Here is a 26,521-nt window from a genome sequence, read left to right as displayed (position 1 = left end):
AAAAAGAATATAATACAATCTCCTCAGTATTAATTTTCATAAATAACTAATATTACCATATTAAATTGTATCATTAGAGATTTTATCTTTTAATTTTATTTCTGGTATTTCATTTTACAATAGTAAAAAAATGTGAAACAAAAAAAAGTCAGCCACAAGTCCGTTTTAATTTTCTCCATTCAATCCAAATACCACATTCTTCCCCAAAATGATAACTGTAGGTGTTTCTTTTCTGATTTTTTTTACTACGTTTATACAGTTACATTTATATTGATATATAAATCCAGCTGGGTGTATTTTCATTCAAATTGAATTATGAAACTTTTAATGCAGAATATTTGTAGTGAATATATAGCACTACTTTATCCTTTGTGATATTGTCATGGTATTTATCATGTAGGTATTCAACAACTTTTCAAACTATTTCTATATCAGTTAATAGGCCAATTTGCCACTCTGGCTTTTAAAAGCAGTGTTCAAAGAGGAGTCTTGTATATCACTTATCTCTATACTTTCTTTTTTATTCTCTATTGACACATAACTGTATATATACATATAGATTACAAAATGATGTTATGATTTTTAATACATGTGGGAAGATTAAAGTCAGCTAATTAATATATCTGTCACCTCTAATATTTAACATTTTGTAATGAGAATATTAGAAATACTCTCTTAGTGAAATAGAAGTTACAGAACTTAATTATTAGCTATATTTACCATACTCTGCAACTGTTCTCAAAAAAACATCAAAATTATTCTTCCTATCTGAGGCTTGGTACCCTTTGGTTATCATCTTCCCATTTCATTTATCTGACCTCACAGCCTCTAGTGACTACCATTCTTCTCACTGCTTCTATGAGTTCAATTGCTTTAGATTTTACCTATAAGTGAGAACATTGCTGTTTTTGTCTTTCTGTGTTTGACTTATTTAACTCAGCATAATATTCTCCAATTTTATTCATGTTGCCTCAAATGACAGAATTTCTTCTTTTTTTGAGGACTAATACTTTTCCATTGTACATATATACCACATTTTCTTTCTTAATTCATCCTTTGGTAGATACTTAGGTTGATCCCATAAGTTGGCTATTATAAGTAGTGTTGTAATGAACATGGAAGTGCAGATATCTCTTCACTATAGTGATCTCAAGTCTTTGGGGTAAATTCCCAGAAGTGGGATTGCTGGATCATATGGTAATTTTATTTTCTGTTTTTTGAAAAACTCCCATACTGTTTTCCATAAGAGTTATGCTAATTCACATAATTCACATTCCAACCAAGAATGTGCAATATACATCCTTGCCAACACATGTTCTCTTTTGTTCCTTTGATAACAGCCATTCTAAAATATATGAAGTGATATTCATTATGGTTTTAATTGATATCCTCCAATGTTTAGTGATGTTGGCCATTTTTTTCATGTATCTGTCAACTATTAACGTCTTCCCTTGAGGAATATCTTTTGAAGTCCCTTGCCTGTTTCTCAATTCAATTACTTGTTTTATTTCTATAGAGGTGTTTGAGTTTTTATATATTTTGTAAATGAAGCACCTTTCAGATGTGTGACTTGCAAATTTTTTCTACCAATTCACATATTTTTATCACTCTGTTAATTTTTTAAATATATGAAAACTTTTTATCTTGATGTAATCTCACTCATTTATCTTTGTTTTTGTTGCCTATGTTTTCACAGTCAAACCTAAAAAATCATTACCCGAACTAATGTCATATACCTTTTTCTTTATCTTTTATTCTAGGATTTTGTTATTGTTGTTGTTGTTGTTTTCTGTCATATCAGCAAGATACATTTTTTAGAATGGTAGTACAGGTCGACTATCCCTTATCCAAAATGCTTGGGACAAGAAGTCTTTTGAATATTTTTGGATTTTGGAACGTTTGTAGAATACATACTGGTTCAGCATCCATAATCTGAAAAATCTGAAACAGCATCCATAATCTGAAAAATCTGAAATCTACAATGACATCTTGGCACTTGAAACATTTCAGATTTTGGAGAATATTAAATCTGAGACTTTTAGCTGAGGGATCGTCATTCTGTTATAAAAACAAAAGTAGGAAGAATAAAAATAGCTAATGATTACATATTCTGTCCATTCATTAGATGACCCCCTAAGCTATTAAAACAGAGTCTTCAGTAACCCCTAACTAAAAATAATACAGACTTCATAGAATTAGTTAAGAAAAGCTAATAAACAAACAATAAGTACTTCAACAATAACAACAAACCCCAGAGAATGGTCAGAATCTGATTTCCAGATTTGCCACATTACAGTATTCCTAATGTCCAATTTTCAAAAAAGAATATGAGACATCCAAAATAAAGAGAAGCTATAACCCATTTTCAGGAAAAAAAAATCATTAGAAATTCTACCTGAGGAAGCCCAGACGTTTTACTGACCACACAAAGACTTTAACTGTGCTAACTATGATAAAAGAGCTAAAGGAGACCCTGTCGAAAGAACTAAAGGAAAATATAATAATGATGTTTCAAACACTTTACCAATAAAATGATATAAATTATTTAAAAATTGAAACAATTAGAAATTCTGTAGTTCAAATTATCATAACTGAAATAAAAAATTCACTAGAGGGGCTTACCAGCAGATTCAAACAGTCCAAAAAGAAAAATCAGTTACCTCAATGATAAGCCAATTAAGATTGTTGAATATGAGGAACAGAAAGAAAAAACAATGAGGAAAATTAATCAAAGTCTGTGAGACCTGTTGTACATCATCAAGCATATCAACACATGAATATACTGTAGTCACAGAACAAGAGTAGAAAGAGAAAGGTGAAAAAAGAATATTTGGACCATGCACGGTGGCTCACACCTGTAATCCCAGCACTTTGGGAGGCCGAGGATGGTGGATCATCTGAGGTCAGGAGTTCAGGACCAGCCTGGATAACATGGTGAAACCCCGTCTCTACTAAAAATAAAAATAAATAAGCTGGACGTGGTGGTGCATGCCTGTAATCCCAACTACTCGGGAGGCTGAGGCAGGAGAATTGCTTGAACCTGGGAGGCAAAGGTTGCAGTAAGCTGAGACCATGTCACTGCCCTCTAGCCTGGGTGACAGACTGAGACTCCATCTCAAAAAAAAAAAAAAAAAAAAAGAGAATATTTGAAGACATGGTGGCTAAAACCTTTCAAACTTGATGAAAACCATCTATCAGCACATCCAAGAAGCTCAATGAACTAGAAATAAAGTAAACGCTAAGAAATCACAACTGGATATATCATAATAAAACTGTGGAATGCCAAAGGCCAATAGAGAATCTCGAAACAACCAAATGTTACAAGCAAAGTAACACCTCATATAAAAGGGATCCTCAACATGATTAGCACCTAAAAAATCATCAAAAACCATGGAGACCAGAGGCCATGGGAAGATATTTGAAAAGAAAAATACTCAACCAAGAATTACTCATCAAAACTAAAATAAAATATTAAAAAGTAAATATAAAATTTATTTTATATTTATATTTAAATTTATAAATTTATTTTATATTTATTTTAAATATTAAAAATTAAATATAATAATTTGTTTACTATCTTATTAATATAAAATATTAAAATATTGAAATATTAATTTTAAAACATTAAAAATGAATATAACTAGACAGAAGATCAGCAAAATGTAGAAGACTTGAATAGAGAATACGCCAACTAGACCTAACATACTCTGGTCATAAAAAGCAGAATGCACATATTTCTCAACTGGGCATGGAGCATTCTCTAGGAAGATAATGCATTAGGCCATTAAACAAGTCTCAATAAATTCGAAGATTGAATTATTACAAAGTATGTTCTTACACCACAATAGAGTAGAATTAGAAATCAATAAAAAAGACAATTTGGAAAATTTGCATATGTAAACATTAAACAAGACATTTCTAAATAACCATGAAATCAAAGAAGAGATCACAAGAGGTTTTAGAAAATAAGATGAATGGAAACAAAAAATAACGTATGTTATGGAAAATACAAAAGCTTGTTCTTAAAGAGAAATTTGTATCTCTAACCACTTATGTTAAAAAGAGAAAAAAAATTCTCAAATCAATAACTTAACCATCTTCCTTGAAAAGTAGAATAGCACAAACTAAACCCAAAGCAAGAGGAAGAAAAATAAGTGTTAGAGTAGAGATAAATTGTAGAGAGAACAGAAATAACAAATAGAAAAAATTACCACACAGCCATAAGTTGGTTCTTGAACAGATCAATAACATTGACTTACTTTTAGCCACAATGACCAAGAAAAAAAGAGAAAAAAATCAAATTACTAAAATCAGGAAAGAAGATGGGACATCACTTCTGACCATAGAGAAAACATATATATATATATATAATATATACACAATATATTATATATATATTATATATATACACAATATATTATATATATATACACAATATATTATATATATACACAATATATTATATATATATTGTGTACACACACACACACACACACACACAGATACATATATAAAGTGGCAAGGCGCGGTGGCTCATGCCTGTAATCACAGCACTTTGAGAGGCTGAGGCAGGTGGATCACTCATTTGAGGCCAGGAGTTTGAGACCAGCCAGGCCAATACGACAAAACCCTGTCTCTACTAAAAATACGAAAACTAGTTGGGCATGGTAGCGTGCTCCTGTAATCCCAGCTACTCAGGGTGCTGAGGCACAAGAATTGTTTGAACCCAGGAGGTGCAGGTTGCAGTGAGCTAAGATCACACTACTGCATTTCAGCCTGGGTGAAATGTCAAGCAAGACTGACTCTCTCAATCTCTCTCTCTCTCTCTCTCTCTATCTCTCTCTCTCTTTATACATATATATATATATATGTATAAAGTAATTCTGGGAACAATTGTATGCCAAAAATTTAGATGATCTAGATTAACTATAACAATTCCTAGAAACTACTACACATGACCAAAATAGACTCAAGATTCTGAGTAAACCTTTAACAAATAAAACTGTGAGTTTAGTAAACAAAATCTTCCAATTAAGAAAATATCAAGGTCAAATGGCTTCTCTGGTGAGTTCCACCAAACATACAAAGAATTAACAACAATCTTTCTCAAAATCTTCCAGAAAATAGATGAGAAGGAAACATTTCCTGACTCACTTTATAAGGCCGTATTACCAAGATACCAATACCAAACTAGAGAAAGGAATCACAATAAAAAACCTACAGATCCATATTCCTTATAGATATAGATGCAGATGCCCTCAATAAAATACTAGCAAACTAAAATCAGCCACATTTTAAAAGGATTACATAGCATGACAAAGTGGGATTTATCCCAGAAATGCAAGGTTGGGTCAGCATACAAAAATCAAATCAATATAATACAACATATTTATGGAAAGTGAAAAAAAATGCAAACAATCATACCTATAGGTGAAGGATTAAAGTTTCTCCCTAACATCAGAAATAAGACACAGATGTCTGCTCTCACCAATTCTATTCAACGTTATACTACAGGTTCTAGCTAGGGCAATTAGGTAAGAAAAACAAATAAAAATATACAGATTGGAAAGGAAGAAGTAAAACTCTCCCTATTTGCATGATCTTATTTATAGAAGACCCTTAACGAACCACATCATAATTGTTACAGCTATTAAACAAATTCAACAAAGTTTCAGGGTACAAAATCAACGTAGAAAAAAATCAGTTGTGTTTTTGTACATAAGCAATGAACAGTCTCAACAGAATGTTAAGAAAACCATTCCATTTACATTAGCATCCAAACACATACAATATCTATAAATACATTTAATGAAGGAGATGAAAGACTTATACACTGAAAACTATAGAATGTTGCTGTATGAAATTAAAGAAGCCCTAAATAAATGGAAATGTTTATTATAGAGAAATAGAGAGAGAGAGAGAGAGAGAGAGAGAGAGAGAGAGAATTGATCTAATGGAAATATATCCTGTGTTCAAAGATTGAAAGACTTAGTATCATTAAAATGGCATTACTACCAAATATCATGTGCAGATTCAATGAAATGCCTATTAAAATTCCAATTACCTTTTTTGCAAAGATGAACAAAATGACCATAACAAAACCATAACAACATACAGAAATGTAAGGGATCCTGATTAGCCAAAACAATCTTGAAGAAAACTAAGACTGATGAATAAGAATAAGAAGGGACTCAAGCTTCTTGATTTCAAAAGTTAATTTAAAGCTATAGTCATCAAAACAGTGTAAAACTTGACTAAGGATAGATATGTATATCAAGGGTATAAAATTTGGAGTACAGAGATATCCCATATATCTATGGTCAATTGATTCTCAACGAAGTGTCCAAGATAATTTAATGGGGAAACAAAAGTCTTTTTTCACACATGGTGCTGGGACAATGGGCGATCTAGGTGCAAAAGAATGAATGTGAACATCTACCTTACACCACACACAAAAATGAACTCAAAATGGACCAAAGACTCACTGGTAAGACATAAAACTCTAAAACTGATAAGAAAAATAGGGCTAATTCTTCATGACCTTGGATTAGACAACAGTTTCTTAGGTATGACACAAATTTGTAATGCCCCATATCTTCCTCAATACCAGGAGAGTATCAATTTTTTAAAGTTTTACTAACATTTTGATGATAATACTGCTTTTAAAAAGCAACTTTTTTTGTATTACCTTTACAGTTGCTGCTGATTTGTTATTTTCATTTCCTATATTGTATGTATATACACATATATGTACATACATGTATATGTATATGTATATATGTACGTGTGTATTTGTCTTATATTCTATTCTTTTGTACAAAAGTCTCAGAGGAAAGCAACATATCTTTCTTTCTTTCTCTCTCTCCCTCCCTCCCTCCCTCTCTCTCTCTCTCTCTCTCTTTCTTTCTTTCTTTCTTTCTTCTTTCTTTCTCTCTCTCTTTCTTTCTTTCGTTCTTTCTTTCAACGGACTTTTGCTCTGTCGCCCAGGCTGGAGTGTAGCATCGTGATCTCGGTTCACTGCAACCTCTGTCTCCTGGGTTTAAGCAACTCCCTGCCTCAGCCTCCCAAGTAGATGGGATTACAGGCACCTGCCACCACGCTGGGCTAATTTTTGTATTTTTAATAGAGATGGGGTTTCACCATCTTGGCCAGGCTGGTCTTGAACTCCTGACCTTGTGATCCACCCACTTCGGCTTCCGAAAGTGCTGGGATTACAGGCGTGAGCCACCATGCCCAGCCTCTTGAAGTATGTTTAAATCACGGTTCCTTCATGATTACTTCTGTGGGTTATTGGTCCATTGCTTAACATGATTCAAATAAATGATGAACAAATTAATGTGAGGATTTTATAAGATTTCAAAAATATATATTAATTGTCAATGGGACCATTTAAAGTGCCTGCTTTTCCTTGTAGGTAATTCTACTTCGGTATCCCTAGTCTTTTTAACTTCAACAGTACTTAAGAAGAAGGAAGTTGATTTTTATACAGAACAAAAAATGGAAACCGAAAGTATTTTGAGAGTCATTACATCACGAAATATCATAACCATTTAAGATAATTAACTTTACACTTTAATATAAATTCCAGTATTTATTCATTTATTTATTATTATTTAGTGGATAAGAGTAGTAAAAGCTTTGGGGGCTGGAGGGAGAAAGAAAAGCTACTTCCCATGCTGTCCTGCTAGTACCTATTGATGTTTTCGATTCCTATCTTTTCTTTTGCAGGAGTAACAACTGTCCTAACAATGACAACTCTAAGCATCAGTGCTCGGAATTCTCTCCCCAAAGTGGCTTATGCAACTGCCATGGACTGGTTTATTGCTGTTTGTTATGCATTTGTGTTCTCTGCCCTAATTGAATTTGCAACTGTTAATTACTTCACCAAAAGAGGATGGGCTTGGGATGGGAAGAGTGTAGTAAATGACAAGGTAAGTGAGAGCTTCCGTGTTATCATTATTAAGAAAATACCCTAATGAATTCCGCTTGTAACAGATATGTTTCTAAAAACTGACATTAAAGACATCCATATATATATGAATTTGAATCATATCAATTTCTTTTAAAGTGTTCTTGCCTGAAATCCTTTAGGAGTTCTTGTAGTACTAATACTTCCATTAAAACCACTCCGTAGCATCTGTTGAGCTGTATGTGTCAGGCACTGTGCTAAGTGTTTTACATATGCTCTCTCACATAATCTTTATAGCATCCTTATGACTAGACTGCCTTCTTATTCTTATTTTTACTCATGAAGAATCTGAAGCAGTAAAGTTATTTTCTTGCCCAAGCTTACACAACTTGTTAGTAAGTATACTTGAACTCCGATCTACCTGTCTGACTGTTAAGTTCATGGTTTTAACACCACACTGCATTATTATAAAGAGATTAGAAAAAGAAAATGGGCATTAATTTTACTTATTATAGAATTCCAGGCTCTATCAATGAATTGAATCCTCTTCACCTGTTCCAGTCTCTGCTGATTGATTGTAAAAGCCCGGATAGCATTTTTTTAAAATCTTTCCCATGTTGTATGGAATAAATATGTCGGTGCTGGAATGCTTAGGAATTTTAAATTGTTCATATGGTCTAAAAGGGAAAAGTTATTTGTTTTTAAGATTAACTTCTTTTGAGATTATTGCTGTCCATATTTAGGTTTCAAGTACTGAATCTAATGGGAGATTTGTGCATTGATATAACAGCTGTTTCCTTTCATACTCTGTAGATTATGTATCTGCCTAAGAGGAGGCTTTGAATGTATCATAATCATCTATATTCTTAATAATGGTAAAAAGTTGTATTCAGAGGATATCTTTAACATTGTATCAACCTAAATGCTTCTTTTATTAAATTTGGATTAACATACTTGCAGATTTGATTTCTTTTTCAGTTATTTGAATATATTTTTTCATTTCTATGACCATGTTACAGTTTAAATATACAAGCAGTAAATGTTATAGTTTAAAAGTCTTGGTCTTTTTCCTTAATTTTGTAAGCCATAGAAATTTTAATAAGACTGATTATTTATTTCATTTTATAAGTTGTGTTTTCCCTACTAACGGAGCCAACAAATAAATATTAAAAGGAATCTGGTCCATTTTGTATGCTTAACTTCTGGGCTGTTTCAGCATTTCCATTACAATTTAATATTGATTTATGTTTTCATTGCCCATATGGTGTACTGCTTTTTCATGGTATCTATGCAATTATTTTTTAAGGTATATTGGTTACACATGCACCTTTATACTAATTTTTTGGAGATAAAATATTAGACCTTTGTAAATATGTCACAAAAGATAAACATTTTGTGCCATGAATTCCCGTATATAAATTTATTGATATATTATTTTAATATTAGAGAGTGCCAAATTGACATTCTGAAATGATATGCCTCCTCAACTCTTTACTTTGGAAAACAGAAGTACCTCTAAATGTGAAAAACAAATAATTGATAATGCTCTATAAAAGCAATAGCTTACTCCTCATGTATAGTGGATTTAAGTCTATCCATATGCCAAATTACACATAGCCAGGATAAATCTATGTCAAAATCACTGAGGTTCCAACCTAATTTTCAGGAAAAGAATTAACGTTGTTTATGTTATTTTAGTTCTTGTGGTTTACTTCAGGAAAACAATATATCAGACATTGCTTGTTCTCATTTCCTTTTCCACAGCTAGAGTGTCCAGCACAGTGCCTGGTCCTTAGCAGGCATTTCATAAATATTTATTGTATAAAAGAATGAATGAGTTTGTGATCTTAAATCCGACAATATAATACCAGTGGGAGGACTTCTTTGCCTTCATGGAAAGTTTTGTAAAAAAAAAACTTATAATGAATTTATCAGTGGGTATTCTATCCAATTTCATGATTCAGATGAGTTTTGAGAGATGTTTCATAAACCTACCTTCAGACTAAGAATTAAAATGTCCTTAAAACTAAAAGGATATCTAGAAGAGTGCCCTAAAGTAGCCTATCTGCCTAAAAGATATTTCAGTGTAATATACTTTTATCTTAATATTCCTTAGACTTAATTTTTAAGCAGAAAATTATAATTTTCTTTAAGTACAGAGTTTCTGTCCACAGGCTGTTTTTAGTGTCCTTTCTGACTAACCAGGCTTATGGAAGTCCTTTTGTTTTGACATTAGTAAACATGAGCAAATGCGGTTATCTGTCAATCCAACGAGCAAATGAAAAGTTCTTTGAAAATTCATAAAATACCAATTATCAATTTGCCCCATAAGAATAATGATTCAGCTCCATATTGATATTGTATGTTTTAAGAAAAAGACATATGTCTTTAACCTGTTTACATGTGCACACTCGACATATTACATGTAGAATGTGCACCGTTACTTAAATTTAGTTTTTGCAAATAAATAAATAAACACTCTCAGTTATACTCAAGCTACATTTGAGCCCTATATTAAAAGGCAGAGCTACCTTGCTCTGTGAGCTTGGGCAGGATTTTACACTACTTTTAGCCTCAGTTGTGAAATTAGACAAGAAAGTCTTATCATTAGAAAAATACAGTGCTGGATCAGATTATCAAACTCTGAATTGTTATGCCTTTCCTAATACAAAGGTGTCTATTTATGCAACCCCAGGCTCTTATGGAACCCTTTTTCATATCCGGTGTTTTTCCTTTTCTCCTTTTGCTCAATACAAATTCTTTCATCCTAGCTCTTGATTGGATCTCTTTCCTTCTTGCTTTCTCAAACCTGTTCCATTAGTTATTGTTTTCTTATTTTATGTCTTCAAAGCCATCTTACTATTTTCAACTGCCTCCTTTCTTTCAGCTTATGAAGATGCTTAATATGCTTAATTTACCAGGAAGAAAACTTTCTAATCCTATGCCACTTTCTTCCCACATCCTCAGCTTCTCCCCTCTTTTCTGTATTCAAACTTTTTAAAAGCATTGCTTGCAATGTTATCTTATCACTTTCAACTTAATTCTCGACCAACTATAATCTAATTTCCTTTTCATTTACTATCTTGTAGCTGAAGAGCGCTAATAACCTCCATACTTTAAGATCTGAAAATAATTTTCCTATTTTTCTCAAGGAATCCCCATTAAATTTTTTTACTGTTATGCTCCAGAATCATTCTTCAGGCCCAGCACAGCAACTTTTTCTCTTCTTTTCTTTCTTAAATCAAACTTCAGAGTATCTGCTTTCTTCCCTCACATCCTGGCAGCTGCCACTATTCATTTTCTGTTTTTTGATTCTCTGCCAGAGTTCAGAGTGGACCCAGCTTCCCTGGCATCTGTTCTTGTTTATCCCTAAAGACAGTCAATTCTGCTTTCTTTAATGCTGTTTTTGTTTTGAGTATTCACTGCGTGATTCTCACTTTAAGGGTTTTACTGACAATGCTTGCATGAATATCTGCAACACTAAGCATACTGTCCCCCCATTTGCCATCCTCAGCACAAATATCAATTCCTCAGGAAATTTCTGAGCCCTCCCCTGCCCTTGTAAATGATTAGGCCTCCATTATAAGTGTGTGCAGTACTCTGTTCTTTTGCATTAGAACCTTTATCGTAGTTTGTAATTGCATATTTCTGTCTCAACTCTTTCACTGATCATGACAATGACCATTTTTGTTTAACACATCACTTCTTTCTGGCATTTTGTACAGGTTCTTACATGTATTAGGTGCTCAGTAAATATGGTATGAGTTAAAGAGGTATTACCCAATCAAAATTTAAAACCCATGCCTTCATTTCACTATTCAAGGTCATTATTGATAACTATACACCATACCTTTTAACTTACGAGGTAATATATCTAACCTATTCCTGGAATATTTCTACCTGAATATAACATCTCAACCTCAGTCTCAACCTGAATATAACAATATCTGTTTTAGAAAGGATAAAATAAAATAGATTTTATATCTTTCCACTGCCCATACCTAGTTATTCATCACTAATTGATACTTCAGTTAATGCCACAACCTAATCTTATAAGCCAACAACTTGGAAGTATCGCTCAACATCTAGTCAGTCATTAAATCTTGTCCATTATTCTCCTTACATATCTTAGACCATATTTTCACCATCTCTCATACTTTTTATAGTTTTTTTTACTCCTTTCTATTTTTAATCATGTCTTCTTCTTATCTATCTCTACATTACTGTCAGAGTTATTCTAAATCATAAATCAGATCATTTAACTAACTCTTCAGTTCTTTAATCAATTATTAAAGGCAGTTATTCAAGGAGCTAAGCTAATATGGTCCAAGTATATAGTTTTCTCTTATGTTTGTTTCTATAATGAATAATAAGGAAGATTTTTTATTATGTTTTTGCTTCCATGTGACTGGGAGTATTTCTATTTTAGAAATGAGAATTGGTCAATAAAGTTACTTGGTCAGAATCACACATCTAATAGGTAGTGAAATCCAGGATTGAGGATAGATCTAAGTTTCATAATCATATTCTTTCTCTAACCATTACTAGCCACAATCATTTTCCCAAACATCCATGCCTCTTCACAGCTCCATAACATTAGACCTGCTGACCCCTCTTGCAATAATACCTCTTCTTCTGCTGCTAACTGACAAACTCCTATTATTTGTTAAGATCTATCTGATTTTACATAATATGAAAACTTTTCAGATTAATTTATTTAACTCCTCTCATTCCCCAAATTGTGTTTTGACACCATTTGGTACAAATTATTTTTACAACATCTCATTACATTATAGTTATATTGTAAGTAAGTCTGTTTCTTACACAAGTTTACAAGATCTGAGTGGGCAATATTTTGCCTTATTCATCATCGTATCTACTGTTACTTAGCACAGTATTTAGTACATATCTTATTGAGTTGATAAAAAAATGTATTTACTTTAATTCCTTGAGATTGCTTTCAATTCTAAATCTGAGTCAGTGAGTCCAAACTGGCTAAGGAAATTATAGAAAACACTAGATAATAATTTACTCAAAACGTAGACGTAGGAACAAAATATGCAAACAGTTATGGAATGTGCTATTGTTTTATGAGTCATTTTATTTAATTCATAGAAAACATCACATTTTCAAGTGTATTTATTTATTTATTTGCATTTATAACATCCTGCCTTGTTCCAAAATATTTCAGGCAGTTCATCAAAGAATGCATGCATTTAAATTATAATTAAATAAAATAGAAATAAAATTAGAAAATCAAGATGAAAGAAAATAGACTCAAATACATTCATCTTTGGGCCAGCACATTAGCTGCAGTCCATAGCAATAGCAGTTAAGCTTCAAATTCTCAGTTTCTTGGTGACCAAAGTAACACCTTGGGGGAGGGAAGAGTTATTTTTCTTTAGATATATAAGTTTTCTCAGAGAAAAACTTTTCCTTACACTGAAATTGCCTTTTGAAAAAACAAATGTTTTATTTTTTTTTTAATTAGGGGAAGCTGGGTACTGTAGAAAGTGATGTCAAATTTTTCCCAATAAACGCAATAATGGATTTCATATTGATGTTTCTTGTAGTCCCCTTCAATAAAAGCTGAAGGCATTACATTAACATACAACTCAGTGAAAGCAATTCTTCAAGGAGCTAAGCTAATATGGTCCAAGTATATAGCTTTCTCATGGCCCAGTTTATTCCAAGAAAAGACTTTAGAGTACTTAGAGAAGTGGATGGACTGTTTAACCTTCAAACAATCTTCTGTAAGTATCACTTTTCTCAGTCAGGATGATTAGTAGACAGTTAACAATAGCATTATCTGACCAATGAGCACGTTGTTATTTTACAAGTAATGAGCTTTCTAGTAGCCACAATAACTGTAAAAAGGCAACATGGTATGGTAGAAAAAGCATAGATTTGCCCTTTGGAGACCTGATTTTTTTCTCCAAAGCCTATTATATTTAGTGTTTGAATGAGAGCCCCATTTCTTTACTGTAAGGAACAGTCCCTAAGATTCTTTCTGACTCCAAACCATGTAATTGTTATTTTCATTCAAATGCCAGGTCACTTTACTCATAGGTGTTTATATGTTAGCTAGAACATCAGCTGAAGTTACTAGCAAATTATTTTCTCTATCACTCATAGGAAGTCAAGATTGTTTTGACACCATGGTGTAAGACATTTTAATTTCTGTAATCCGGGTTTTTCCAGACTTGATATTTTAAATATACATCCAAAGACTTCAATAAAGTAATACACTCAAAACATACTTAAACCTACTAAATGTCATTTTAAAATGGAAAATCAATTTGTGTGGGTTATATTTCTTTTTCATTCCACTTAATTGACAACTGAACATTCAACAAACTGTGTAACAGCATAGTTTACTCTACCCCCACCCAGATAATATATAAAAAATATATTTTATTTTGTTTATAAATCAAATCTTCACCTTCTGATATGGGTCTAAATCACAAGTAAAACAGCTTCCACAAGCTTTGATTTTTTTAAATTTAGCCTGTTTAATTATTTCCCAGTCTTACACATCTGTAGATGGTGAAATTGAAGACATTCAGGAGACTTACATAATAGAATTGTAGAATAAGCTATTGAATTCTGTATCAATTGATCTGATAAAGTATTTATTATAGTCTATATGACATATTATCTTGTTACACTTTATATGTTATATATACATTTTTATCATAGTAAGCGTTTTAGTTACATGCCACTCATTTATCATTAAGCAAACGTTTCTGAGCCTGCTCTGAGCCAGGAACTATGCTAGGAACTCTGCAATACACAGTCTGTGCCTTCAAAGAGCTTACAATGAAGTGAAAGGAAAACAAAAGTGAAAAAGATACATACATGTTTCATTATAGAGGCAAGCTCCAGGGTCCTCCAGAAAAGCATGAAATGGCAACTAAGTACAGGCAGTAGAAAGTGTTGTCTTGGTCGATGTGACTCAGAGCTGAATCAGTGTTAGCCTGGTTATGGTAAGGAGGTAACCAGGGGACAATGTGGAGTTAATTATCAGTTCTGACTGAATTGTGTTACCAGTCACAGATTAGGGGGTACAAGTGAGTGTACAGATTTCAGCAGGAAGTGAGAGTGGATGGAAGCTGAGTGCACTTCTGGACATTTTTTTGCTTTAATTACCTGTGGGATGTGTAGGTAGAGAAGTCTAGTGAAATTTAGTGGTTAAGAATTCCGGAGAGATATTTTATCAGTCATTCACGCATAGCTTTCAAAAGCCATGAGAATTACTTACAATTAATAGAAAATAGTGTCAGTTTGCCTGCATGATCCCCAGTCTCCTTCCCACTGATCCCATTCTCAACTTGTAACATTACCTTTTTTAAAAATCGGCTTCTGGAACACGGTGTATATTTTTGGCTATACCTGGCCTTATTCTCATAAATGATATGAAGTGGCCTATCTAGGTGCCTTAAAGTAGAAATACAGCATGAGATGAGGCAATAGGAAATTAGCCATCAGAACTATCCGAACTTTTCTAGTTTTCAAAAGAAACAAAAATTGTATAGGAACATAAGCGTTAAAAAATTCATTTATGGAAATGAGTACTGTTTTTAATCATTAACACAAAAGGTTTCATTGGACTATTTTTCTTCAGGTTCTGAGTGTAAGCTAAAAGTTACATTAAATAAAGTAAAATCAGTCATGTGGCCCAAGGATTCAACCTGCTGATGGTGTGGCTGGATCCAAAGCCTGCATGATATTCGAAGAGGTCTCTATAGTATGATTTCTCCCAACACAGTTATTTTTAATAGCAGTCAATAGTGAATAGGGCCATGTAATACCTCCTGGATATCATTTAGCTAGGGTATGGATATTCTTTGGGACTATCACTATCAAATCTGTGTCTTATAAAGAATATTAATAATATATATTATGTAGACTTAACCTATAGACTCTGCTTTAGAAGATCTTAGAATTGTAAGTCAGCTATGAATTCAACAGTATTTTTCTCTCCCTAAACATGGTTTTAATTTTAAACAAAGAGAAACAGTCTGCTTTACTATAGATTTGCAGTTATTACTTTTAAATGGACTGAGGGGACTTATTTTCCCCTTTAAAATAAGACTTTGTAAAATTCTGAGCCAGAAAAGCTTTGCTGTGCTGAGACTAGGAATTGAGAAGATGCAGCACCATAGGATTGCCCTGCCCTTCATTCAGTGAATTGGTAGGAAATTACAGGTGCCAGCAACTGGGTTCTTAACTAAAAATGGTACTTATAGCTGTTGTACTTTGCTTACTTGGTCCTGAAAATGGTAGTTTCCAAGTTACAAGAGAGCACTTTGAAGCCAAAACCATTACCTTTTGAAGTTCTGAGCCCTACTCTGAAGTTTTTGCTGATTCATAGAGTGAAGCCATACTTTAAACAATGAAGAAAATAAGGTGAATTTTGTTATTTATAGCTGTCAATAAAAATTGCAAACATAACTTGGAACGAGTTTTAACACTGCTTATTAAAGAGTCCACAGTGTTAGCATAAAACAAAAAGTGCCAACATACAAATATGCAGGGTTGATACTTGGCTGGTATGTGCTGCTGCTTGTATTTTACAGCCAACGTCAGTTCTGATTGGTCAGAGTATCTGTTCAGATTGGTTAGTCCCTCTGCTCTAGAGTTTTTCAGAGACTTTGTACCTGTATTTCCTGAGCATATATGTGCAACTGAAGGGTATTCAAGTGAGGGGCAAGAAAATATTGGTTAAAATTAGTATAGGGTTTCTAGCTGGAGACTCCTGTTGCAAAAAAAAAGATATTTACATTTTATGTTTCTTTGTCTACATGCCTAAATCCTACACCTTAGTTCCTCATCCAACATAAATGTCCTACTTCCATCAAACTTTCCTTGAGTTCTTCAACAAAATATTTGTCTTCTTCTACCTAACACATAATAAATTATATTGCCTTTACATCTTGTACACCAGTAATCACTGTCTGGCTTGTAATAGTTATGATTTGCACTCCACTAGGAGAATATATGTTTCTCAATGTGGTTAGAATAAGATATTCGTCCATTTGTTTATTACAACAGTTTGATATACCTTTAGTATCATTATCTTCCTTTTGTCAAGTTACAAGCTGAAGAAAAACATTAAGGAAATTTCTCAAGGCCCAGATTCTTTATATGTGCAATCTGATATCATTTTAAATGATGTTTCAATTTGGTTTAAATAATAATATAAACGCTATATGTTATATACATTATAAGTTGAAAAGCCCTTTTTGAAGATTGACCTAGAGATATAAACCTCAACAAGAATATTTTAGGAAAAAGCATACTCCATGTCTCAAACAGCTTCCTCAGACCAAAAATCATATGGCATGGTGTTTAAAAGCAGAGGTTTAGAAGTCAGATACATCTAAGTTTGAGCGCTTTTTCAGCCATTTAATAGGCGCAGACCTGGTCAAGTCAGAAAACTTTTTTAGCCTTCATTTTTGAACCTATATCATGGGGTTAATAAAGGAACTTCCTATCCCGTAGTGAGGTTTGTCAGAGATGTCACCTTGGCTAACAATCAACCCGACACATTCTAGTGCTCAAAAAGTGTTCGCTATAATTTCCTTATCAGTTTTTCACTTAGACATTATCCTCTATTTGTAACATGGGAACTATATGCATCATTACTGAAGAAGAGATATTTTGTAGCTTTTACAAAGTTACAAATGGTGATCTCTCATCCTTCCTTCTTTCATAATTAAGCCAGATCTGGAAGAATGTCAGCAGGGGAAAAAGGAGAGGAAGAAACTCAGGCCAGTGAAAGATGGGTAATCCATGACTGTTTTTAGAATCTCCTGGGCTTTCAGAGCTCCTTTTTAAACTTATTTGAACACTTTGAGAGCTCTTAATTAAAATAAATAAGAGTCAAAATATGATTGTAGACCAATTTGTCCTCTATATCTGTTGCTTTACACCCTGCTCACTATTTTGGATAATTCACTGCTGTCTCAATTTACTTTGTATTCAAGTAACCAAAAATATATTTATATTAGTAAAGAAACAGATAAGTACTATTTATATTTTCATTTTATTAAATGAATTATATATTATTTCACTGATGTATTATGTGGCTAACTTGTGGAAGGCTTCATGCTAAGTGCTAAGATTACAAAGGTGAACAAGACAGAAGCAGCACCAGCCTTCATTGAATGAGAAAGCAAGATGTCAGTCGAATAATCACATGACTAAGAAATAACACATTTTGAAAAATATCGTAATGGAAACAAATTAGAGTGTTATGAATGAGCATATATGGGAGCAAAGAGATGTTTAGTTAGAGTGACCTTAAGAAAGTCCTTTCTTAGGAAATGGCATTTAAACCAAGACCAAAATAAGAGAAAGAATTGGTGTTCATGTGAAAAATGGGGTGGGGAGATGGTATATCAGGTTTTCAAAACTGAGGTGTTCTGGGCTGGGGAAATATCATGGCTAAAAGCGTGGCACCAAAGCAAGAAAGTATTTTGAAAACTGAGGTTATTTCAGGGGAGCCAGTAAGTAATGAGCAAAAGAAAGAAGCCATTGTAAAAAAAAATGTTGTTTTCATTCTAAGTTCCATGAAATATTATTTAAGGGATGTAAGCATAGAAGTTAAATGATCCAATTTATGTCTTAAAAAAGATCCCTGTGGCCATAATGTGTCTAATGGTTAGACAAAGTCAAGCCAAGCTAGACGGACACAAAGTCCAGGCAGGAGATAATAGTGACTCAGACAAGAGTTTGTGATAATGGAACTAGAGATTATAAAGTGAAACGGGATGAGCTAAGCAAAAATCCAAGACTTTGTATTTTATTCTCCTTCTGTGTTTCTAGTATTTGTTGCACTGCCATCTTCATAAGGTTACAATTTCCCATCATCTGAGTAAAGCATTGCTATATGACTTTGACGTGAGGTGGGAGGGAATCCTGTTACTAAGCTAGAAATGTGGGATCATTCATTGTAGATTATCATTCCTCTTGTTAAAATATTTCTACATTTCAGTTATTCATTCAGTCATTCATTTGACAAATACTTGACTGACTCATGAGAAAAGAAAAGTTATATTGTTTTTTAAAGTTGCATTTTTCTATTGGTTATTTTCCATGTCAACCCACAACCAATAAGATTCCTCAAGAAAGTGGTACCACTAATTTTACTGGGGGTTTTCTCACCGTAATGGATTTGGAATTTAATAAACACCTTTATTTATTTTCCTAATTTCTGTTTTTTGCTAATGCATGATGATTTGTATTAGGATACCTTCCTTCAGAATTTGAAGTGGACTTTAGAAAATGTTAAGTAGCAGACTCAACCCACACTCTGTTAATTTTTGTATTTTTCAATAGAAAAAAGAAAAGGCTTCCGTTATGATACAGAACAACGCTTATGCAGTGGCTGTTGCCAATTATGCCCCGAATCTTTCAAAAGATCCAGTTCTCTCCACCATCTCCAAGAGTGCAACCACGCCAGAACCCAACAAGAAGCCAGAAAACAAGCCAGCTGAAGCAAAGAAAACTTTCAACAGTGTTAGCAAAATTGACAGAATGTCCAGAATAGTTTTTCCAGTTTTGTTTGGTACCTTTAATTTAGTTTACTGGGCTACATATTTAAACAGAGAACCTGTATTAGGGGTCAGTCCTTGAATTGAGACCCATGTTATCTTTGGGATGTATAGCAACATTAAATTTGGTTTGTTTTGCTATGTACAGTCTGACTAATAACTGCTAATTTGTGATCCAACATGTACAGTATGTATATAGTGACATAGCTTACCAGTAGACCTTTAATGGAGACATGCATTTGCTAACTCATGGAACTGCAGACAGAAAGCACTCCATGCGAAAACAGCCATTGCCTTTTTTAAAGATTTACCCTAGGACCTGATTTAAAGTGAATTTCAAGTGACCTGATTAATTTCCTATTCTTCCAAATGAGATGAAAATGGGGATCCTGTACAACCCTTTGTGGACCCTTTTGGTTTAGCTCTTAAGTAGGGGTATTTTCTACTGTTGCTTAATTATGATGGAAGATAACATTGTCATTCCTAGATGAATCCTTTGAAGTAACAAACATTGTATCTGACATCAGCTCTGTTCATGAGTGCTCAGAGTCCCTGCTAATGTAATTGGAAGCTTGGTACACATAAGAAAAACTAGAGATTTGAAATCAGCTATGAATTACTCTATATAGTATCTATAGCCATGTACATATTACAGCATGACAAGCTCAAATAATTATGAGTCAGCCCGAAAGGATGTTAATTATGCCTACGATGTAATAACTATTGGAATGTCATGGTCATTACATTTTTAGCTTCAGAGTTTATTTGAAAGTAATAATTGAAATCCTACAATTTATTTTAATCATTGGAAACTACCTTAATTAAAAAAAAAGAAAAGAAATGTGTCTTAACATTTCCAGGTATGTGTTGTATTGAAATTGATCAGCTAAATTTTACGGGTGCTGGAGACTGGAAAAAGCATCCAGTTTGGTTGCTGTGGAGCAACATGCATATTGGATTAGAAAATTGTGCCAAAAACTCCCACTGATGAGAATTCATAGGTGCCCCACACTATGACAAACACTTATATGATTCTCCTCTTTCCTGTTTACTGCAAATTCTGCCTTAAGGCTTCTTTTCAAGACTCAGAAGCCACTAATTATAAAGGAAAGGGCAGTTAATTGGCACATTTTTCTCTTGTGAAAGCAGTTCTTTCAGATAAGAATTAATGTAAATCTGCTTTTGTAAATTGCAACTTTAAATTTCGCTGACTCAAATTTACAACAGCTTTGTATACCAGAAGAGGTTTTGGTAAGGGTTGAACATTTTTACACTGCAACTTTAAAACATCACCAATAGATTGTGGATTATTTCACGTGCACAAACATACACACACACACACACACACACACACATACACAGCTAAATTAGAAAACACAATTTTAAATTTTATATAATTACTAGTTATTAATGGGTAAAATTCATTTTTCTTTTAATATCTTAAAATATTATTTATGCCCCGAAATATGCTAATAAAAGTTAAAGATTGTGTATTATGCCTAGATTCAAAGTTTTTGGCAAACTTCAAATACTTTTGATTGACATGTACATTAGCAGTTATTAGTTGACTTTTACTAAAACATGCACCTTTACGATGGTGTTTTTGTAGAAACATAAGTAGTCAAATAGTAACATTTATTGCAGTTTTGTACAGTATTTGAGTATAGTGCATAAATAGGTATGTTCATAAAATCAATAAAAGGAGTATCTATGGAAATAAGCAAAATATCAGCAAAAATTGCTATTCCTTTGCCTCATTTAATTTTTAAAATTTCTTTGTTTCCATGTGATTCTATTATATGCTTTGCATGCTTGTATAAAACCAAGGTCACAAATGCAACTTATTAACGGAATTTGCCAAGAAGACAGCCTTGACATTAAAAATTCCCTCACAAGAGGTAATCCATAATCCTTAATAAAATAAAATTGTTACATGAGCCAATAAATGTATTTCTTTAATTCCCTTCCAGTAACACTTTCTTTGTCACCTAGTTTTAAAATGTGCACTTTATTCATACATTGAAATAGAAGATATCCTATTTTCTTATACATTTAAATATAGCATAGCTCTTCTGTATAGTTTAGGGATGTGTGCAATTGTATAAGGAAGTACACAATGCCAGAAGGCAAGCAATGAAATTGCTCTATATGGTATGCATTATTAGATACTTTAAGAATATTTGTCTTGTAAAGTCCGCATTGCCCCCTTAATGTCTGACTATAAGTTATAAATTTATAAATATGTGTATATGTAAAAACAGTTGTAAATAACAGTTTCTGTATGACAACAGAAAAGGCTTATCTATACTTTGGGCAAAGAGCTGCTACTATATTGATGGCACCAGTATTATTAGCATTTATGGCAGATTGACCAGAAAACTTATCACTGTTATTCTTATTTTAAATTTCATGTGGTAAAATTTTATTTGAGTGCAATGACATTCTGGCAGTTCAGATTTTTCAGTGCTAGGGATCAGAATTCTTTGTTATTTCTTTAAACTTTGATGTACTTTTTACATATTTCTTCTTCTTTTAATGTTTAAATAAATCAAAAGGAGCTTCTTCTCTTGTGGGGAGACTAGGGATGCTCCGTGGAAATTGCTTTTAAATTATAGAACAAGATTCGTAACAATTATAATCCTTTCCATGAACCAATTTAAAAACAAATTTAAAAGGATTTTAATTTATCACAATAAGGCCAATTTTTCAGAAAATACATTTTATATATACTAACACTGATCTCTTTGGCCCATAAGATTATACCTATTTTATGCAGTTGTACAATGACATAAAGAGTTATGGTATGTACAAAATGTAGATAAATACATGTACATATATAGAGATATAATCTCATTATTTTATAGCTACTACTCTGATTTAACTAATATTTATTCAAAAATATTTTTTACCTCCTGTGCCATGCCCTGTAATTGGTGTTAAAATCACTCATGTCACACCCACTGAATTTAGTTGAAATTTTAAGTGCATCTCATTCTTATAATGACTTGAAATTAAAGACTATATAAAACATGTAAATTAATTTAGTACTGGGAGTTCTTTAATGAGCTATGATGCCACTAGTGTGCTAGGATAGGTGGCTGTTTTTCTCTTTTCTCCTGTTCATGTTCCCATGTGTTTGATTATAAAATGGAAGAAATATAACCATTTAATATATATTTTTTAAATTTTAATGATTTTATTAAGTGCCAATCTTAATGTTTAGAAATCTTTTCAGGTATCTCTCTATTTTGAATTTATCTCAGGTTTGGATAAGTGATCCCCTTGAGCCATGTTTCTAAATTTTTTTTCTTAAATAGTTCATAGTTTATTTTTAAAAACAACCCAGAATCTATTATTTTACTCTCATTATTTGGTAAGTATAATTTGCATTTATGTGGCTCTTTTTGAATTCCTGGTTGAGGGACACAAACCCTGCCATGATATAATCATGGATTCCAGAAGAGCACCAAAGTACTTTTCTTTGGCATGGCCGGTCATCATTCCAATGAAAGAAGAAAGGAAGTAGCTCAAGTCACCTTCTGCATTATCATGGTTCTTTGGCATCCATTAATAATTTGTTTAATGTATTCTATGCCTGATGCCCTCAGACACATGTCTGTGAAACACAGACATATTTATTATTTACTTGGAAATATGAGGTTATGTTAATAGATTTACTAAACAGATTATTATTGTTATTAGTCTCCTGGCACACTGACATTCATCTGCATGTTTTTGAAGCAATGACCAAATTTTTTATCATATGAAAACATTCAGAATTTTAAGGGGATTACTACCTGACTCATTGCTACCCTATAGTGCCATTCATTTTCCTTTTAATTGAGGTCCCATAGGCACCTCGTGCTTCCCTTTTATTAATTTAAAGTATGCAGAAGTGTAAAATTTTAACTGGGGAGGGGTGCAGTTATTTTTGACATCTGCATGCTTGAGAAACATGGACACTATACCAAAACCACTTGTAACAGTGTGGAGAAGACAAGTCATATTTTTATCTACTGAATTCATGCTCTAAAAATTAAAGTAAATATTTAACATAATTATTTAATATCCATAATATTTTGCTGTTAAAATTTATATTAAAGATATTAATATTTTCCATCAGTATTTAAGAGCTCAGAATTACTGAAAAGAAGAAACCACAGGAAACAGGAGACTGTTGTTAATTAAACCAAGTGAAGCATTTTTCCCTTTTTAACTTCCGAGAAAGTAGATAAATTATACATATGTAGACACACAAATATTTTAAGAGTCGTTATTCTATCATAGTAAGCATCATAACTAAAATACTAAAGTAGAGAAAGTTCATGTGAAAGTCATTTGGGAAGGTAAATTATTCAATATCTACTTATAAATATTATATATCATAATTTTGTTTTTTTGCTAAAATTCTTAATTATCAACATATCTAGACCACTGTGTCTTCCATCTTGTTAAGTTGAAATATTCTATTTTTGTTTGTTTATATATGAAGAAATACTTATAAAGGTGGTTATACGTCCCACCTCAAACTACTCAATGATGTATTTAATACATAACATTACCTAATATTGCCAATAGTAAAGAACAATTTACAGGTTTATGTTTCAGCTTACAGTAATGTTCCCAAAGATCTTTTAATAGGGTCTTAGCTGTGTGTGTCAGTGATGTGTGTATGTTTGCGAGTGTGTATGTGTGTAATTCCTAGGTATGTATGGAATAATGTTTTGAGAAATTCAGATAAATTTATGATATCTAAACAATTTGTTTTATTAATGGATCTTATCACAAATTCAGCTCTTATTAAACTAGCAATTAACTTGCACACTAGAACACATTTTTCAGTAAATCCATAACAAACTTATTAATTAGAATTAGGTTTGAGTTATGCATATGGTTAAAAATATCTTTTCTATGTTGGTGTAAACTTTTTCGAATGTATTTCTAGTTTTTTTTTAAAAAAAGATTAAATTCAAAATGATCTTGCAATTCTGCTTCATGAGATAGAATAGAAACATCTTTGAATGCCAGGTTTCTCAACGGAGGCTTGTGTAAGCTCTTCTAAAAGTTAAATATCTGGTTATTTACAAATACAAAGTTATGTATATTCATTACTGATTTGTTTCATACCTTACTTTTTGAATTGGAATGATTCAGAGTATAATTCTTACAGAGAGCCCATCACATACTAGTCAACGTTCTAAGTTTTTTATGCATATTAGTTCATTCAGTCCTCACAGCAGCCATCATCACTGTGTGATTCTTGAAGCTCTGGAAATCTAGGATTTCTATATAGTACACCAACATACCAGTTTACATATATTATAGGAAAGGTAAACGAAACAAACAAACAAAAAAACAAAAAACAACAAAAAAACCAAAAACCTGTGTTTTTTCTTTGCTTTAATTCAAATTTATATTCATGCCTTTTGGGGAATATTCATTCAATAAGGGAGCCATTACATGGTTTTCTACATAACAAAACAAACAAGTAAAAAGCAAACACTCAACAATAAAACTGTACTGTACAGTAAGCAATACCCGTTTTTGTGATGCTAGCTATTTACTAACTTCTTTGGTACAATTTAGTTTCTGGGAATATATTGCAGTTTTCTTTTTTGGTTCACAAGTAATGATCACGTATTAAAAATGATTAATGTTGATTAAGCAAAAGTAAGCACTTCCTTCATTTCCTTTTTTTTCTAATTTTGCCAGTTTTATTAGTGGTTGGAGAGATGTGTTTTCATTTGTCATATTGTTCGTTTCATAACATTTAATCCCATTGGGCTTCAAGGATTATGTATTGATTTCATCAAATATTTTGTTGTAAGTTACCGTTTATAGAATGACGCCTGAATTGATCCCAAGGGATGCCACCGGTGGGATTGCAATTGCTGAATTAGCTTACTAGGTTTGAAAATGTCAGTTTTCCATGCTTCTTTTTAGAAGACTTTGCCATAACATGATGCCAAAAGGCAAACTATGTTGCATTGGCTATATAAACTGTATTATTGGCTATACATGAATATTTCCAACAAAGTTTATTTGTAAAAACAACTGATGCTAAGAAAGCAAGAGTTAGTTGCAGAATTACTTTAGAAATAGTACTGATAGATTTGTTCAGAATTTATTTTTAACATATTCGACATAGTCGTTGAAGCAATTGATTGTGCTTTAAACTGATCATAATGTGTAAAAAGGTGTAACGTATAATTAGAAAGACATAAGTAAAACTCAATTATTGAGCCACAATTCTCATGAATTAAACTTTACCATCCACAGTTAAGTCCTTATTGCTTGTTAATCTTGGGTGCCTGCACTACACTTGATTTTAAAATTGTTGGTCTTCTATAAATTTTCAAGATTTTCCTGAGCAGATACAAATTCAGGTTTTGATGTGCTTCAAACTAAGGAACATCACCTTTCATGAAATGTTTCCAGTAGATGTGATGTGAGTGAAAACTTTAAAAAATGTCATACTTATTGCTACATTTGAATAGAAAATAAAAGGAATAAAGTATTTTTCCTTTGCTACAAATTAATAATACGATCACATGCAGAGAGAATGTGAGGAACCTTCAACACTAAACTTTGATAGTCACATTATGTGAAATTTGAAATTTTCTGGGTGACAGTATACTTATTGGTAGGTTTTCTGGTTCATGAAAATAACTCAAGAACTAATATTTGTAATTGTGACCTTGTTGTAATTGGGAAAGGCCACTAGTTGATCATATGACCTTTATTGAATATGTCATGCTTGCTGTTTAAAAAATTCCTAACTAATCACATGCAAATTAATGCTAAACAACTTTTTTGTATTTATTAAAAATGATTTAAATATATTTGCTCTGAAAATTGTGTTTTTTATACTCTGTTACACATTCGCTTACAATAATTGAATTTATTGTGTATGTGGCTTTTATATATTGGGATATAAAATGATATTTTGTAATAGCGGTTTTAAAAGTTGTTAGTTTCTTAAACTTCTCTTTAAGATAAAAAGCTGTAGGGTGACAGGAAAAGCATAAACATACCCTGAAATTTGAGGAGGAAT

General features: G+C 32.4%; 1 protein-coding gene across 20 annotated transcripts in view; it reads left to right on the top strand.

Annotated features, from left to right (window-relative positions):
• Positions 1-26,309, top strand: part of GABRA2 (gamma-aminobutyric acid type A receptor subunit alpha2) — a 146,753-nt gene extending 120,444 nt beyond the window's left edge. For 11 of the 20 annotated variants that reach the window (NM_001377154.1, NM_001377146.1, NM_001377152.1 and 8 more), the window contains 2 exons: positions 7,729-7,931; positions 19,253-26,309. In NM_001377154.1, the coding sequence (NP_001364083.1) occupies positions 7,729-7,931; positions 19,253-19,549 (500 nt within the window). In that variant the 3' untranslated portion in view covers positions 19,550-26,309. Of the gene's footprint in view, positions 1-7,728; positions 9,086-13,482; positions 13,663-19,252 lie in introns of those variants that run through there. The other 9 variants (NM_001377145.1, NM_001286827.3, NM_001377144.1 and 6 more) reach the window with 2 other exon arrangements.

The sequence above is a fragment of the Homo sapiens genome, chromosome 4 (assembly GCF_000001405.40).
Source record: "Homo sapiens chromosome 4, GRCh38.p14 Primary Assembly".
Taxonomy (NCBI): domain Eukaryota; kingdom Metazoa; phylum Chordata; class Mammalia; order Primates; family Hominidae; genus Homo; species Homo sapiens.
Note: the sequence above shows the minus strand (reverse complement) of the source record. Positions and strands in the feature narration are given on the sequence as shown.